The sequence below is a fragment of the Homo sapiens genome, chromosome 8 (genome assembly GCF_000001405.40).
Source record: "Homo sapiens chromosome 8, GRCh38.p14 Primary Assembly".
Taxonomy (NCBI): Eukaryota; Metazoa; Chordata; class Mammalia; order Primates; family Hominidae; genus Homo; species Homo sapiens.
The window spans coordinates 125,100,054-125,116,733 of NC_000008.11; the positions used below are offsets into that span (position 1 = coordinate 125,100,054).

General features: G+C 39.4%; 1 protein-coding gene across 14 annotated transcripts in view; it reads left to right on the forward strand.

Annotated features, from left to right (window-relative positions):
* Positions 1-16,680, forward strand: part of NSMCE2 (NSE2 SUMO ligase component of SMC5/6 complex) — a 275,261-nt gene that overhangs the window by 8,194 nt on the left and 250,387 nt on the right. For 7 of the 14 annotated variants that reach the window (XM_017013331.2, XM_011516974.3, NM_173685.4 and 4 more), the window contains 2 exons: positions 1,998-2,093; positions 2,264-2,434. In XM_017013331.2, the coding sequence (XP_016868820.1) occupies positions 2,278-2,434 (157 nt within the window). In that variant the 5' untranslated portion in view covers positions 1,998-2,093; positions 2,264-2,277. Of the gene's footprint in view, positions 1-1,960; positions 2,094-2,263; positions 2,435-16,680 lie in introns of all 14 variants that reach the window. The other 7 variants (NR_146191.2, NR_146192.2, XM_047421702.1 and 4 more) reach the window with 2 other exon arrangements.

The following is a 16,680-nucleotide window of genomic DNA, read 5'->3' on the forward strand; positions in this document are numbered from 1 at the left end:
TATTCATTTTAACAGGAGGGAAAGCAGAGTGTATGAGAACTGATGCTGATAGGTGGAGAGGTAAGCGGTGGGAGCTTGCAAAATTTCTATTCTGACTGCTTCTGTTTCCTCAGGAAATTAGGAAACTAGATCTTTCAGTGAGAGTGAGGATAGAGGAGGAAGTGTTGGAAGTTTCTAGTGAGAGGAGTCGTAAAAGAGCATAATAGAATCAGGAAAAGTCAAGTATTGTCTTATGTACTCTGCAATGATTTGTGCACTTCATTCCTACCTGCCTTTTCCTTTGCCTGAATGCCCTTCTCCATTACCCTTCCATCTGTTAAACTTCGTCTTTTATCCTTTAAACTCAGTTCTATGTTCCCTTCTTTGATCCAGTCAGGCAAAGTTGAGCATTTTCTTATCTGTGCCTCAGCTTTGCAGTAACTCCCATGTTGCTTTAATTATCAGGTTTATGTTTTATCTCTGTCTCTCCTACTCAGTGGTGAGCCCCTGGGAGTAGAGGCTGAATTTTTTTTATTTTTATTTTTTTGAGACCGCGTCTTGCTCTGTTGCCCAGGCTGGAGTGCAGTGGCATGATCTTGGCTCACTGCAACCTCCGCCTCCCAGGTTCAAACAATTCTCCTGCCCAGCTTCCCGAGTAGCTGGGATTACAGGTGCCCACTACCATGCCCTGCTGATTTTTGTATTTTTAGTAGAGACAGGGTTTTGCCATGTTGGCCATGCTGGTCTTGAACTCCTGACCTCAGGTGACCCTCCTGCTTCAGCCTCCCAAAGTGCTGGGATTACAGGTGTGAGCCATTGCGCCTGGCCAAAGGCTGAATATTTCTAGTGCCTGGGATAGTGCCTGGCTCATGATAGGTTTTCATCAAATTAGAATAACAAAATAATTCTTTAAAAGGAGAGTGTCTTAAGAGTGCTCATCTTGAAAACTGTGGTATTCTCATGCTAAAGGAAGTGCCTGGCACTTAAAGAGATACTAAATATTTGAACTGACAATGAGTTGTACTGTGGATGTTTGAGGTAAACAAACACTTCAAATTAGAAATCTTATGCATCTCTGTGCATCTTGCATGTCTCTATGCCCTTCTCTTTTTATATCCTGTGGATTTTTGAATGGGTCTCATGATTGACATGGTAGGTACTCAATACTTATGAGTGAAATGAATGAATGAACCTAATTAAAAAGGACTAATAATGGAGAAACTACAATAGTAGTTCAGCTGTGAGATGAAGGTGGTAGCAATGATGAGGATGGAAATGCCAGAGATACTACACAGTTCCCCACTTAGGAAGGGCAGAAGGGAAGGCTCTAATGCTAATTAATTGTGTACTGTATGCTATACCATACCATGGTTATTCCTTTCCATTTTAAAGATGGTAAAGCTGAGATTCAGAGATGTTTAGCAGTCTTCATGTTATGTCTATCTGATTCCATGAAAATACCCCTTTTTCTGCTGCCATAGAGCCTTGTTAATAGCCCTCCCATCCCTTTAAAACTGTGAATTCTCCCCACTTTTCTAGTTGGTTTCAGTGGATTGAGTTTCAAATGGCTTCTGAATTAAGCAGAGATGTCCTTTTGTAGGCAGCTTTACATTGCTTTACTAAGCTGAAACAAATTGTGGTTGAAGATATAGATTAGGAAGTGTTAAATATGAAGGTAATAACTGAAACTGTTATAGTGGATGTGCTGCCAGAAGACAAGTTTATACAGAAATTCTGCTTTCACTGACTCTGGGATCTCACCAAGTCTATTAATCTGTTAGAAGCCAGAGGAACTGGCAGGAATATAGATTTTCTCTTTTTTTTACAGTTTCCAGAATTCAGTATGCATATATGTTGGATAGTTTAACGATTACAGGTTTTCAAAATAGTTTACTAATAAACTATTTTATTAGTATTTTTTTCTCTTTGGAAAATTGCATCATATGAGTGGTCTACTTTTTCTAACCCATTTATCTTGTAGGCTTTTAAGAACTGTGCTATTGTTGACTTCTTCACAGAATCAAGCACTCTTTTGGAAGAGGGTAATCTCTCTCCAAAAACTGAGGACACTTACCTTCCCCATATATTGAGTCCAGCTGTGTTTGGTGGCCCAGGTGAGTGGCACAGTGATTTGGTGTCTTCTCTATAGGATATACAGAATAGTGTGGCATTTATGAGATATTGGATACATTTGTATGAATGTTTACAGCAGTTTTATTAATATTTTCCTGTGCAGTTATTATTCTGACTTACGAATCTTGTTTCATTGTGTTTGAAAACTTAGGTACTAATTTCAAGATGCCAGGACGTTCCAGTTCAAATTCAGGTTCAACTGGTTTCATCTCCTTCAGTGGTGTAGAGTCTGCTCTCTCCTCCTTGAAAAACTTCCAAGCCTGTATCAACTCTGGTATGGACACAGCTTCTAGTGTTGCTTTGGATCTTGTGGAAAGTCAGAGTAAGTAAAATTAAAACCTCTTTTGTGTCTACTTTGAGGTAACACTGTGTGGTGGTATTTATCTGGGGGTGCCTTTTGAGTATCCTTGGGGGAATGATTTAACCCCTCTAGGCATCTGTTGTCTCATTTTATTCTACACACCGCAGCAGGGTACTGAGGGTGAAATAAGATTGACTCATTCATGTGTGTTCAGACAGTTAAGTTCCATGAGAAACTGCGCTAGAAATGTATGGGCAAAGATTTGAAGATCCTGACCCCAAGGAGCATACAATCTAAAGTATTTGACATTTGTGAACTGTAAGGTATATAAATTTATTATGATATTGTTATTTTTCAGTAGTTTATACTTTGGTCATACTTGATTAACCAGTAGATAGACTAAGCTTATGCTAGGGATACCAGCAAAGGAAGGCCTCAACAAAAATGAGAAAAGTTCAACTTTAATGAATTTTACCTACATTTGTTCAATCAAGAAGATCTAGAAAGATGTGATTTGCAGGCCGGGTGCAGTGGCTCACCCCTGTAATCCTAGCACTTTGGGAGGCCGAGGCCGGCAGATCACGAGGTCAGGAGTTTGAGACCAGCCTGGCCAATATGGTGAAACCCCGTCTCTACTAAAAATACAAAACCAACATGGTGAAACCCCGTCTCTACTAAAAATACAAAAAATTAGCTGGGTGTGGTGGCAGGTGCCTGTAATTCCAGCTACTCGGGAGGCTGAGACAGGAGAATCACTTGAACCCGGGAGGTGGAGGTTGCAGTGAGTCGAGACCGAGCCACTGCACTCCAGTCTGGACAACAGAGCAAGACTCTGTCTCAAAAAAAAAAAGAAAAAAGATGTTATTTGCTTTCTTTGGAGTAGAATCGTTTTTATTTTATTTTACACATGGAGCCAGAGGAGCAGCATGATCCTTTTGTTTTGTTTTTATTGGCATAGGTTTTGAGCAATTTGTGATGTGCCGTGGTGTGATTTTTTTTGTCCTGACTGATATTGTTTGAGATTTATGGATCTGTCAGCTTATAGTTTTTTGAATCAAATTTGGAAAAATTTCTGCTACTATTTCTTCAAATATATTTTTTTAATTCCTCTGCTCTCCTCTCCTTCTGTGTGACTCACATTTCATGTATGTTAGATGGGTTGATATTGTCCCATAAATCAGTGGAACTTGATAGATTTTTTCCAGTCTTTTTACTCTTTAGCTTCAATTTGAATAATTTCTATTGCTAAGTTCATTCATCTTGTCTACTGCAGTGTCTAATCTGATAATTCCATTTAGTGAATTTAAAAATTTCAGTTACTGTATTTTTAATTGTTGAAGACATAACAAAGAATTAAGTAGAATCTTTTTTTTTAGTCTTCCATTTCTTTCTTCATTGTGTCCATATTTTCCTCTACATTCTTGAGTATATGGAGCATGTTTATAATAGCTATTTTAATATCCTTGTATGTTAATTCTGTCATCTCTATGTGTATTATGTTGTTGAGTGTTTGGATTTTGTTGTCTTTTTTTTTTTTTTTTCAGCCGGAATTTTGCTCTTGTTGCCCAGGCTGGAGTGCAATGGTGCGATCTCGGCTCACTGCAACCTCCGCCTCCCGGGTTCAAGCGATTCTCCTGCCTCAGCCTTCGGAGTAGCTGGGGTTACAGGCATGCGCCACCACGCCCAGCTAATTTTGTAATTTTAGTAGAGACGGAGTTTCTTCATGTTGGTCAGGCTGGTCTCAAACTCCCAACCTCAGGTAATCCGCCTGCCTTGGCCTTCCAAAATCTTGGAATTACAGGCATGAGCCTCCATGCCCAGCTTGTTGTCCTCTTTTAAATAGTGTTGGAGTTTGTTTGGTGTGCAGCTAAGTGATTGTGGATTAGGCTGATCCTTTCTAGGCTTATCGTTAAGCTTTGTTAGGTCAAGTCTAATATAGCCTTTATGTTAGGGCTAATTTAGCCTTGTTACAAAGCATGGCCCTTCTGGAGTCTCTCTTGATTGCCCCGAGGGTTCAGTGCGATAGCTCTACTCTGGCTGGATGGAATTTGAGTGTCTCCCGGTCCTAGGTCCTACGTGACTGAACCTGGGAGTTGTTCACTTTATAGCTGTCAGTATTTGTTGCTCAGCATCTTAGGACTCAGCATCAGACTCAAGGGGACCCCAGTGCAGATTCCTAGAGCTCTTTATCTGCATAGCTCCCTCACTCTCTTGCAAACCCTGCTGGCTGCCTCAGCCTCCCTGAACTGAAGTCTCTGTCTCCTCAATCCTTCAAGACTGCTGTGCTAGGCCGAGCATGGTGGCTCCTACCTGTAATCCCAACACTTTGGGAGGCCGAAGCAGGAGGATCTCCTGAGGTCAGGAGTTCCAGGCCAACCTGACGAAACCCTGTCTCTACTAAAAAACAAAAATTAGGCATGGTGGAGGATGCCAGTAGTCCCAGCTACTGGGGAGGCTGAGGCAGGAGAATTGCCTGAACATGGGAGAAGGGGGTTGCAGTGAGCCGAGATTGTGCCACTGTACTCCAGCCTGGGGAAGAGAGTGAGACTCTGTCTCAAAAACTCCCTTGGATTCCTCCTCCCTTGCGCAGGGAGGAGGCCATTGCAAGACTTTTCCCAGTTTTCCCTTATTGCAGTAATTACAGTCCTGTCCCGCCTTTGTCCTACTGTCCCACAGCTATTGTTTCATATATTTTGTTTAGTTTTTCAGTCATTCATGGCAGGTGGACCAGCTCCATACAGTTATTCATTTACGGCTAACAGCAGGTGTCACTCATAATCTTTTTAGTGGGTGGCCTCCAAATGTTTTAACCCTACCCAGTCTGTTTTTGATTATGTTTTTGGTGATCATAATTTAGCTTTGATAGATAGGCCTGGATAAAAGTCATAATAAAATCTTAAACCATAAGAGAGAAGACTGGAACATAACCCCTTGGGAGATTGTATCAGTTTTTTTCAGGATTCTTTTTGAAGATTCCTGGGAGTTTTAGCTACAGAGTTTTTTTTTTCTCTTGGTTTTGTTTTGTTTTAAATAAGAGGTATATTTTGTTGTAAAATACAACATGTGCAATTTAAGAAGAATTATAAACATCATTTTTTGAAAGGTTCATGCTCTAAAGCCAAAGTTGGCAAAGTTTTTCTATAAAGGGCCAGATAACAAATATTTTCAACTCTGTAGGCCATGTGGTTTCTGTCACAACCCGCTGTTGTAGTGCAAAACCCACCATAGATGGTACGTAAATGAATGGGCATGGCTGTGGTCTTATAAAACTTTATTTACAAAAATGGGCAGTGGGCCGGATTTGGCTCACAGGTCTTAGTTTGTCAACCCCTGCTTTAGTGCCGCAGATTGTCATTAAGTAATTTTTAAAAGAAAGATGTATTTATTTTTTAATATTTGGATTAATTTTACAGCAAATACTTGATTTTGCATTTACCAAAAAAGTTAATTTAAGAAAAATTTTGAGCAAGTTATATGGGAAAAAAAGTGAACTAAACAACTTAGACAGACACAGAGTCACCAGGAGCCTGGACTTCTTATGAACTCAATATGTATATGAATACATGCGTGTGTGTGTGCATACACACACACACACACACACACACATTTTAACTAATACCAGGAGTCAAAATAACAAAGTAGTCAACATAAACTAACCAAGTGACTATTCTGCATATAATTCAGCTCTAGGTTTTAAAGAGGACATAAACAAGTATTAAGTAGTTCTTCCCTTCATAGAGTTTACCATCTTAGTGGGAAGACAAACACATATTAAAATACTAAAACAATGAGAAAACAGAAAAGATGTTATAAAGCTGCAAATAACTAATATCACCACTGATCTTATCAGAAAAGTCATACGCTCTCAAATTTATAATGGTGAACACAAATTTTTCAAAGTTCTAATTTTTTCTTTAAAACTTTCACTTTGGGCTGAGTGTGGTGGCTCATGTCTGTAATCCCAGCACTTTGGGAGGCTGAGGCAGGTGGATCACGAGGTCAGGAGTTTGAGACCAGCCTGACCAACTTGGTGAAACCCCATCTCTACTAAAAATACAAAAATTAGCCGGGCGTGGTGGTGCGCACCTGTAATCCGAGCTACTCAGGACTCAGGAGGCTGAGGCAGGAGAATAGCTTGAACCTGGGAGGCGGAGGTTGCAGTGAGCAGAGATCAGGCCACTGCACTCCAGCCTGGGCGACAGAGCAAGACTCCATCTCAAAAAAAAAAAACAAACAACTTTCATTTTGGCCGGGTGCTGTGGCTCACACTTGTAATCCTAGCACTTTAGGAAGCCGAGGCTGGAGGATCACCTGAGTTCAGGAGTTGGAGACCAGCCTGGCTAACATGACGAAAACCTGTCTCTACTAAAAATACAAAAATTACCTGAGCGTGGTGGTGGGCGCCTATAATCCCGGCTACTCGGGAGGCTGAGGCAGGAGAATCGCTTGAACCCTGGGGGCGGAGGTTGCAGTGAGCCGAGATCACGCCACTGCACTCCAGCCTAAGTGAAAGGGCAAAATTCTGTCTCAAAAAAAAAACAACAAAAAAAAACTTTCATTTTACCATTAGCAACAAATGCTGTTAGTTGTTGTCTTTGAAATTACAGTTGCACAGGCTCACTTTCTTCATTTTTGAGAAAATGTCTTTCAGATACCCAAACCTGAATAACCATAGTTTGTCTGTGAATTGTTCTATATTGTACTGTTTTATCAAGGACATTCTTTTTTTTTTTTTTTTTTGAGATGGAGTCTTGCTCTGTCCCAGGCTATAGTGCAGTGGCACGATCTTGGCTCACTGCAACCTCCGCCTCTTGGGTTCAAGCTATTCTCCTGCCTCAGCCTCCTGAGTCCTGAGTAGCTCGGATTACAGGTGCACACCACCATGCCCGGCTAATTTTTGTATCTTTAGTGGAGACGGGGTTTCACCATGTTGTCCAGGGTGGTCTTGAACTCCTGACCTCGTGATCCACCCTCCTCGACCTCCCAAAGTGCTGGGATTACAGGCATGAGCCACCAGGCCTGGCCTATCAAGGACATTCTTAAATGAAACTAGCATTTGTTTTACTATGAGTGCTTGGTAGAGAGGAATACAATGATCTATTAGAGTGCAACAGTTTGGTGCCACTGCTCTGATTTTTGCTAAGGCACCAGCAGTTTTTTCCACAATTGCTTTTGCACCATTAGTACAAACATTCAACATTTGTACTAATGGTGCAAATGTTAAAAAAGAAAAAGAAAAACAAACAAACCCAGACAAATAGCATCTTAAAATTATGATGTAAATAAGCTAGGCCTGGTGGCTGACACCCATAATCCCAGCACTTTGGGAGGCCAACCTGGGCAGATTGCTTGAGCTCAGGAGTTTGATACTAGCCTGCAGCAACATGGCAAACCCTGTCTCTACAAAACATACAAAAATTAGCCAGGCATGGTGGTGCACACCTGTAGTCCCAGCTACTCAGAAGGCTGAGATGGGAGGACAGCTTAAGCTCAGGTGGCAGAGGTTGCAATGAGCTGAGATCACACGACTGTACTCCAGCCTGGGCAACAGGGCCAGAGCCTGTCTCAAAAAAAAAATAAAAAAAATTATGATGAAAATAGTTTCGACCCATGGATCCCCTGAAAGGGCCCAGAAGAAATTACGATGAAAATAGTTTTGACCCACGGACCCCCTGAAATGGCTCAGAAGACCACACTGAGAACAAACTGAGTTTGATTGCTTATGAATAGGAGGTAGATGACATGAGAAGTCCTCTGCAGAGAGAAAGCCAAGGGCAATCACTCCCACTGGGGTAATTCAGCAAGAACTTGTTAGGGGAGCAGTGTTAATGTGATACCAGACTGAGGTGCTGTCCAAGGACCCAGAGAGTAGGAAAACACCGGTTGTTTAAGGAAATTGGAGGGTAGATCAGCCTGTAACAGTAGATGAAAGACTTGTAGAAGGCTGATACTAAGGCAGCCAGTATCAGCACTTAAGTGCACGCTTGCTATTGGGTCCAGTCCTAACTCTGTCATAAGTTCTGTAACTTTGAGTAAGGTACCTAACTTCTTTCAGCTTCTAATTTCTTATCTGTGAAATAGGATTAAAATGCCTGCTTCATAAGATTGTTGGGACTAATGAGATAATATATGCTAAGTGCTCTCAGCCACAATGTTAATTCAATAGCTATCATATATGACAACCAGCAATTAGTAAAATTTGAGGGTCAGAACTTAGAAGAAGGGCCTGTGATGTGAAGAGGGTAAGAAAGATGGATGAGTTTGGAAGTCTGTGTAAGACTGAGTCCAGCTAAGTCACTAATTCATCAGATATGTTGCCAAAACTACAAAGATAAATAAAGGTTTCTTCCTTTGAGTTGTTTACAGTCTAGGTAGGAAATAAGACATATACTTGTTATTCAATCATTAAGTGAACATTGATGGCCTATAATGTGATGCTTTGCCAAGGAGTTTGAACCTTATCATTGGAAGGTTTAAAGTAGAGGAAAAAATATGGTAAGATCCAGTTTTAGAAAGATAACTGTCCACAGCAGTACTGAGGAAGGAAAGACTTCAGGTGGCCAAAGAGGAGATTATGTCAGTAGCTCAAGTGAAAAAGAAAATAACTTTGACTAAGGTATTGTAACTAAGGTAAAAAGGATTTGATTTGTGTGCTATGTATCTTATACCCTCATTGTAATACAGGCATAATAGTGTAATAGATGATTGCTTGGGTTCTTATCCCAGTGCCCTCTCTTATCTTTGTGACCTTGGGCAAATTCTCTACCCTCCAATTTGCCTCAGGTTTCCTATTTATAAAAGGCATTATTGTGGGGATTAGCGAGATAATATTTTACAAATTACTTAGAATAGTAGTAAGTGCTCAGTAATTGTTAGCTGTTACTAGTAATTTGGTGTGCATTTGAGTTTGAGTTGACCGGTGGGTGTGTTGGACAACAGAGAATGGATTGGGAGAGATTAAAGTGCAGAAGAGCAAGTGGGGAATTTCATGGATTATCCCAGAACAGAAATACTGTTTTCCTTAGTTTTATGAGATTGTTGACTTTTTGGGTTGCCTGATTTCATCTCAAATCAGAGTGAACTTTGATAAACCAAATGATAATGATCACATAGGTATCATTTTATCACTTTGCCCTGACATTTTCCTGTTGTTGTATTATTAAGTTATTGGTAAAGGAGATTCTTGCTCCCAAGAACTAGGGTGGTGATGTGTTTTATTTTGTTTCTTATTGGTTGCAGATTCCTAATTCCTATACCAGGTGTTTGTCCCTGTTCAACTTTCTAGCTTATTTGAAATGATCACCTTTGCCTGTGTTACGTTAGAATATATGGTGTCTAGGCAATTAGACTCACCACTACCATGTTTATTCATTTTTCTCTAAATTTGTCGATATTCTAGTATTACCTTCTTCTTTGACCTAACTGGGAAATGAAATTTGTTACATTAGGAGATTTTTTTTGAGATTACCGAAGCTTATTTTTTTCAGGTTTTTGAGTTTATTATGTACTTTTCTGCCATCTTACACAGAATATACTGACCTAATTAACTGGAATTATTTTTAAATCATCTTTAAGTAGTTTTAGTAAGCGCTTTAGGTTTAGTTAAGTAAATTTGAGGAATCTCCCTTCTCTAAAATGTTAATGTACCTCAAAGATGTAAACTACATCTTTGTAGTTTTCAAAGATGTGTCATCTCTTCTCATGCCTCTCTGCCAGGGCAAGTCTGTGAATGGGCTTCAGAGGTTTGGTTAATGCTCTGCAATTCTACAAAAATGTATGTGCATGAGGATTAAAAGTTTTACCAGATTCTTGCTAAATATTTGATAGCAACATTTAGAAGTAAAGGATTAAAGTTTTCTCTATATATTGCTTTTCTTTCTGTGATTTCGGAGCTATAGGGCAGAAAGATTACAGTTACTATGGTCAGGCAGTTAATTGGGTATTTGTTGAGCTATGCTAAAGTATGGTGATGATGATGAATTTGTTACATACTTAACTGGTGCTCTTTTTACATGTGCTATTTCATTTGATCCTAACAGTAATCCTGTGCAGTAGGGACTGTTGCTGTCCCCACTTTACACATGAGAAAAATTGAGGCTTAGTGAAGTTACATGCATTTTTTAAGGTCACAAAGTTAGTAAATGTTTGAGTAGGGATTTGATTATAAGCAGTCTGACTTCATAGTTTCTGCCCTTCACCATTACACTTCATAAAAAATGTATTGTGCCAGCGTCATGGCCTGTGCAGTCAAATGACATTTAGCGACGTTTTGCTTAGATAATTTTGGTTGTTGTTGTTTTTTTTTTTTTTTTTTTTTTTTGAGGATAATGTTATCTGATTTTTTTTTTTAAATACCCAAATGAGGTTGCATGCTTTTTCTGAAACATCCTCTCATGGAGGTCATGTATGGTCATGGGGGGAAGGAGCTGGGACCTTTCAGGGCCTTTGTACTGACCCTAGACTGTCTACTTTCAGTTCTTGTAATGGCAGGAAAAGAAACCCCTGTTTGGCTAAGCAACAGCTCTCATGTTTGCTCTTCTTTGCAGCTGGTTACAGTCCTGACTCATGGAAGTGATTCATCAAATTGATTGAATGATAGTCTGTTCTTTCATACATCCACAACTTGTGTTCTGGCTAAGAATCATCACCTTTTTAGATCTAGTTCCTTTTGTCTTACCTTAATCCCCACGCAGCCAAAAAAGTTTTCACTGTGTGGCAGTTACTTCAGAGTTCATGATGAGTAAAAAACAACCAGCAAAGTGAAAAATTACATGGTCAGGGACATTTACTGCCCTCATGAATAACTGACCTTTTACATTTGCAAATGTTAAGCATTTCCTTGAGAGAATAGTTTTAAATCCGGGTGCTTTGGGGGTAAGATTCTAGTTTTGTTCCTGAATAAGACATTCTTAAATCTAGAAATTTGGTAAGTATGGGTGAAAAAAAACTCCCAGAAAATTGTGATCATCCATAACCCTATCACCCATCACCTTATTTTATGAAAAAGGGATAAGCATTTTGCTTAAACCTTTCATGTTCAAAATGTTTTGAGGCTGGTTGCGGTGGCTCATGCCTATAATCCCAGCACTTTGGGAGGCCGAGGCGGGCGGATCACTTGAGGTCAGGAGTTCCAGATCAGCCTGGCCAACATGGTGAAACCCCATCTCTACCAAAAATAGAAAAATTAGCTGGGTGTGGTGGTGTGTGCCTATAATCCCAGCTACTTGGGAGGCTAAGGCACAAGAATTGCTTGAACCCAGGAGGCAGAGGTTGCAGCGAGCCGAGATCACGCCACTGCACTGCAACCTAGGCAGTAGAGTGAGACCGTGTCTCAAAGAAAAAAAAATGGTTTGAAAATTACTTGATAATTGGATATGTCAATACAACTGACCTGATATTTTCAGGGCTTGATTTTTTAGAAAGACTTACATTCTGGATTTTTCACTGTGTTGTGATATATTTCTCCATTAGAGCACTGCTTTTTGTTATTAGGAGTCTAGTTGAGTCGGGGAGATTTCTTTTTGACCTTGTTCCTGTCTTTTATTTCATAATTATTGAATAGAAGGAGTAACTAGAAGTAGGTGGTTTCTAGTGGTGAGTGGTGGCCACAATGATAATAAAAATAACAATAACCCTAAGAAGCCAATGTTTGTATGCTTATACAGCTTTTATAACTGGAGCCAACTATACCAGCAAAATAGCATTATAACTTAAATTAGTGAAGATTATTAAACATATATACTTAATTATGCTGTATATAGTACTAAAAGTAAAAGGCAATGCCTACACCAGGATGTAGAGAAAAGGGAAACCCTTGTGTATTGTTGGTGCGAATGTAAATCAGTACAGTCATTATGGAAAACAGTATGGAGGTTCCTTTAAAAATTAAAAATAGAACTACCATATGATCTAGCAATCCCAGTAATGGGTATGTATCCAAAGGATGTATGTCAAAGAGATATCTGCCTTCTCATATTCACTGCAACATTATTCACAATAGCCAAGATACAGAAGCAAACCTGAGTGTCTATCAATGGATGAATGCATAAAGAAAACTGTGCTGTGTATACATAATGGAATATTATTCAGTCTTAAAAAAAAAATGAAATACTGTCATTTGCAACAACATGGGTGAATCTGGAAGATGTTTTGCTAAGCAAAATAAGCCAGTCACAGAAAGATAAATAGTGCTTGATCTCACTCGTATGTGGAATCTAAAGAAGGTGAACTCATAGAAACAGAGAGTAGAATGATGGTTACCAAGGGATTGGGGAAGGGAAGGGTGGGAGGACTGGGGAAATGTTGGTCAAAGGATACAAAATTACCATTAGGAGGAAAGAGTTCAAGAGATCTATTGTATAATATGGTGACTATAGTTAATAACTATTATATACTTGAAAATTGCTAAGAGAGTAGATTTTAAGTGTTTTCACTACCAATAACTGATTTAAGTATGTGAGGTATTGTTAACTAGCTTGATGTAGCCATTCCACAGTGTTTACATATTTCAAAACAAAATGTATACCATAAATATATTTAATTTTTGTCAATTAAAAATAAATTTAAAAGTGAATATATATTAACAGAAAATGGGGGGGGGGGTGAGTCAATACCTACAGAATATGAAAAATCCAACTTTGAAAAACTCAGTTCTTTTTTGCTGATATCTTTGTGTTTCCTAGGACTGTGTTTATTCATTCATTTTAGTGTTACCATTGTAGACTTTATAGTTAAGTAAAGAACTGTTGTGGTGGCTCACACCTGTAATCCCAGTGCTTTGGGAGGCCAAGGCAGAAGGATCTCTTGAGGCCAAGAGTTTGAGACCACTCTGCACAACATAGTGAAACCTTGTCTCTACAAACATTTTTAAAATGAGTCAGGTGTGGTGGCATGCACCTGTAGTCCTAGCTACTCCAGAGGCTGAGGCAGGAGAAGCCCAGGAGTTCAAGGCTACAGCAAGATATGATTATACCACTACACTTGAACCTGAGCAACAGAGAAAGACCCTGTCTCTAAAAAATAAATAAATAAAAATATATAGTTAAATGGGTAAAAAGAACAACTTATGAGAAATACATTTCTGGGGGAGGAGATTAAAGTGTACTAATAAAAAGAATCATAAGGAAAATGTTCACAATGATGTGGATTAGAACCTGAACACAATAAAGTGTAAACCAACCTTTCAACACCAGTTTAGGTGTGCAGAAAGATTTACCAGAATGAAATTCATAATTCATTTCCCCCGTCATCCTCTCCTTTCTCATCAGCAGGATCCACCATGTTCACATAGATGATCTGTTAATATCATCTTGATTCTGAAAGGGACCTTAGTGGTTAGGTAATCTCTCATGAATGCTTTTGCCCATTGGTTGTTCAGGGACTGGGAGCTTTTCAGAATGAGTGAGGTTTAGCAGGTTCTAGGATTGGGTAGAGGGTAGAGGAGTAGTGTGACAACTACTTTTATGAATTTGATAGGATTCTTCTCCCTTTGGTTGTGAACCAAAAGAAGTAAATTCCCAGTTATTAAGATTAAATCTAATTAGATTTAGACTTGTTTTTAGATTGTATTCTCAAGAAGTTACCTATAAGCACATGATCTTCTGAAAATCTGAACATAAATATTTTGCCCGGTATGTCTAGGCCCTTGAAATTTAGAATTGCAGCATGTCCTTCATCCCACTCCTTTCAGAATCTCTTACCCCTTTCTCTGCTTTATTTTTCTCTCGACTGTTTAATACTTACCACTACCTCACTTTCTAACATACTGTATAATTGCTTTATTAATGTTATTTATTGTCTGTGTCTGCCCTGAATGTATGCTCTGTGACAGCAGGGGTTTTTATCAGATACCCTTACCCGCTGCTATTGCCTATAGGTACATGATACACAGTAAGCACTCAATAAATGAAAGAATGTGTTTAAAACCTAACAGGAAAATTACTATAAAAATTTCCTCTGATTGTCTAACTCATTCATATATACCCACACCCATGTTCATGGATTATATATGCACTCCATGCCTATACCCCATCCATATCCATGTATACATACATACGTACATATGTATATACAGCAGTGGGTGATTTTGCCCTCCAGGGTTCCTTTGGCAGTGTCTGGAGACATTTCTGGCTGTCACAACTCGGGGATGCGGGGAGCATGTGTGCCCTGGCCTCTAGGTGTTCAGATGCTGCTAAACAGCCTTCAGTGAATGGGACAGCCCCTGCACAGCAAAGAACTGTGCAGCCTAAGCTGTCATTAGTGCTGAGGCTGAGAAACTCTGATACACACACTAATGTATGCATACATACATACATATACACATACATACACATACATAGTCACTGGTTTAAAAAATCTACTTAGAGAATTTTTGAAATTTGAAGTGGAAAACATAGGCAATACTAAGGGTTCTTTAGGTAAATAATACTTGGACCTTTATTGCTCTTTTTGCTGGCAGTTAAGGCTTTTCCTTATTTTCAGAGTTGATAGCATTCCTCGTGTTTCCCTTATATTTTATGTTTCTTTATGTGTCATATTTCCCTCACTGGACTGTATGTCCTTGAGATTAGGATTCCCATACAGCCATCCTCATGCTCCAACTCTCAGAGCTTGGCAGTGGACTTTGTACATTTTAGGTTCTCTTTAAATGCTTTTTGAGTGAACCAGTCAGTCAACCAAGTAACTAAGAAATTTGGGTGTTGGATTGTAGAAGCCACGGTAGGAATATTGACTCCACCCATGGAAATGGGCAAATGTCACAAATTAGACCCTCCCCAACAGCTGGAGAGCTGGTTATGAAGCAGTTACCAGCACCCCCCTGGGCATATCTGACATTGAAGCAAATTTGCATTTGGTAGACAGGTTTGGGAAAGGGCTTTAAAAGTAACAAAGCCTATATATTGGAGGAGCTTCAGAGTCATCCTTTTTCTCCACCAGTGAGATTCCATGTACATTGATTTATGTCTTGGAAATATGTGAAAGATGTTTCTATTAAATCTTTCAGGCCGGGCTCAGTGGCTCACGCCTGTAATCCCAGCACTTTGGAAGGCCAAGTCACACAGATCACCTGAAGTCAGGAGTTCAAGACCACCCTAGCCAACACAGTGAAACCCCATCTCTGCCAAAAATACAAAAATTAGCCAGGCATGGTGGCAGATGTGTGTAATCCCAGCTACTTGGGAGGCTGAGGCAGGAGAATTGCTAGAACCAGGTGGGTGGAGGTTGCAGTGAGCCAAGATTGACAGAGCGAGACTCCGTCTCAATAAAAAAAAATAATAATAAATAAATAAATCTTTCATGGCCATTAGTATATTGTTTAGTCTTGACCTGGGAGATGCTTGCTGATGCAACTGTTTACAAAAATGTTGAAGTAGGTGAAGAAAAGGGAGCTGTCATAGCCTACAATAGGCAAGTATGAAATAAAGGTGTATGTTGTGGAAATCACTGAAAGAGGTCAATATCCTCATCCTCACTCCACAGAAGGGGAAATTAGGCTCATTGAATTGAAACAACTTACCATAAGGCACACACCCAAGTTGCAAATTGGGAATTTGCATTTGGACCCAGTTTGCCCAACTCCAGCCCCATGACCTCGATTTATCTGTAGTCTCTTTCCTTTCTTTCCTCTTTCTGCTAACCATGGATGAATGGCAGTAATCCTTAACAGCTGTTAGTGATGTATCAGACATCCAGTTCTTATTGCAAATATATGAGGCTTGTAATATGAATTCTATTTTACAAATGACAAAACTTAAAGCTCAAAAAGTTAATTTTTGGACCAAGGTCACAGCTAACAAATGGCAGAACATTTGAACTTGGCAAGGCAGTATGGCACACAGGCTCATACACTGCTCACCACAGGTCCTTCAGTGCAATGACAATGACAACAAAGAAAGTTAATTTTTAAAAATGAGATCAAAGATTTTCTTCCTTATGTTAAAAAAATTATTATTATTTCCATTTTACTTGACCCAGCTTTCTGTGACTTATTTTTACTAACTTATTTCTGTGTATAGGGAAGGTTTGGAAGAAAGCCTTTTGTCAGAAACTCATCCTATTATGGATAGTTGCTTTTATAATGTTAGAATTGGTTGCTCTGTGTGTGCGTGTGTGTGTGCGTATATGTGCACACATGGGAGTGTCTGTGTTTTGAAAGGACAAAATAAAAACTAATCAATAGAGCAGGTCTTTGAAATTCCTTAACCTACTTATGTCATTAGCAGTAATGTCTGTGATGTTACCTGTCATGGAGTCTTGAGCTTGCAAGG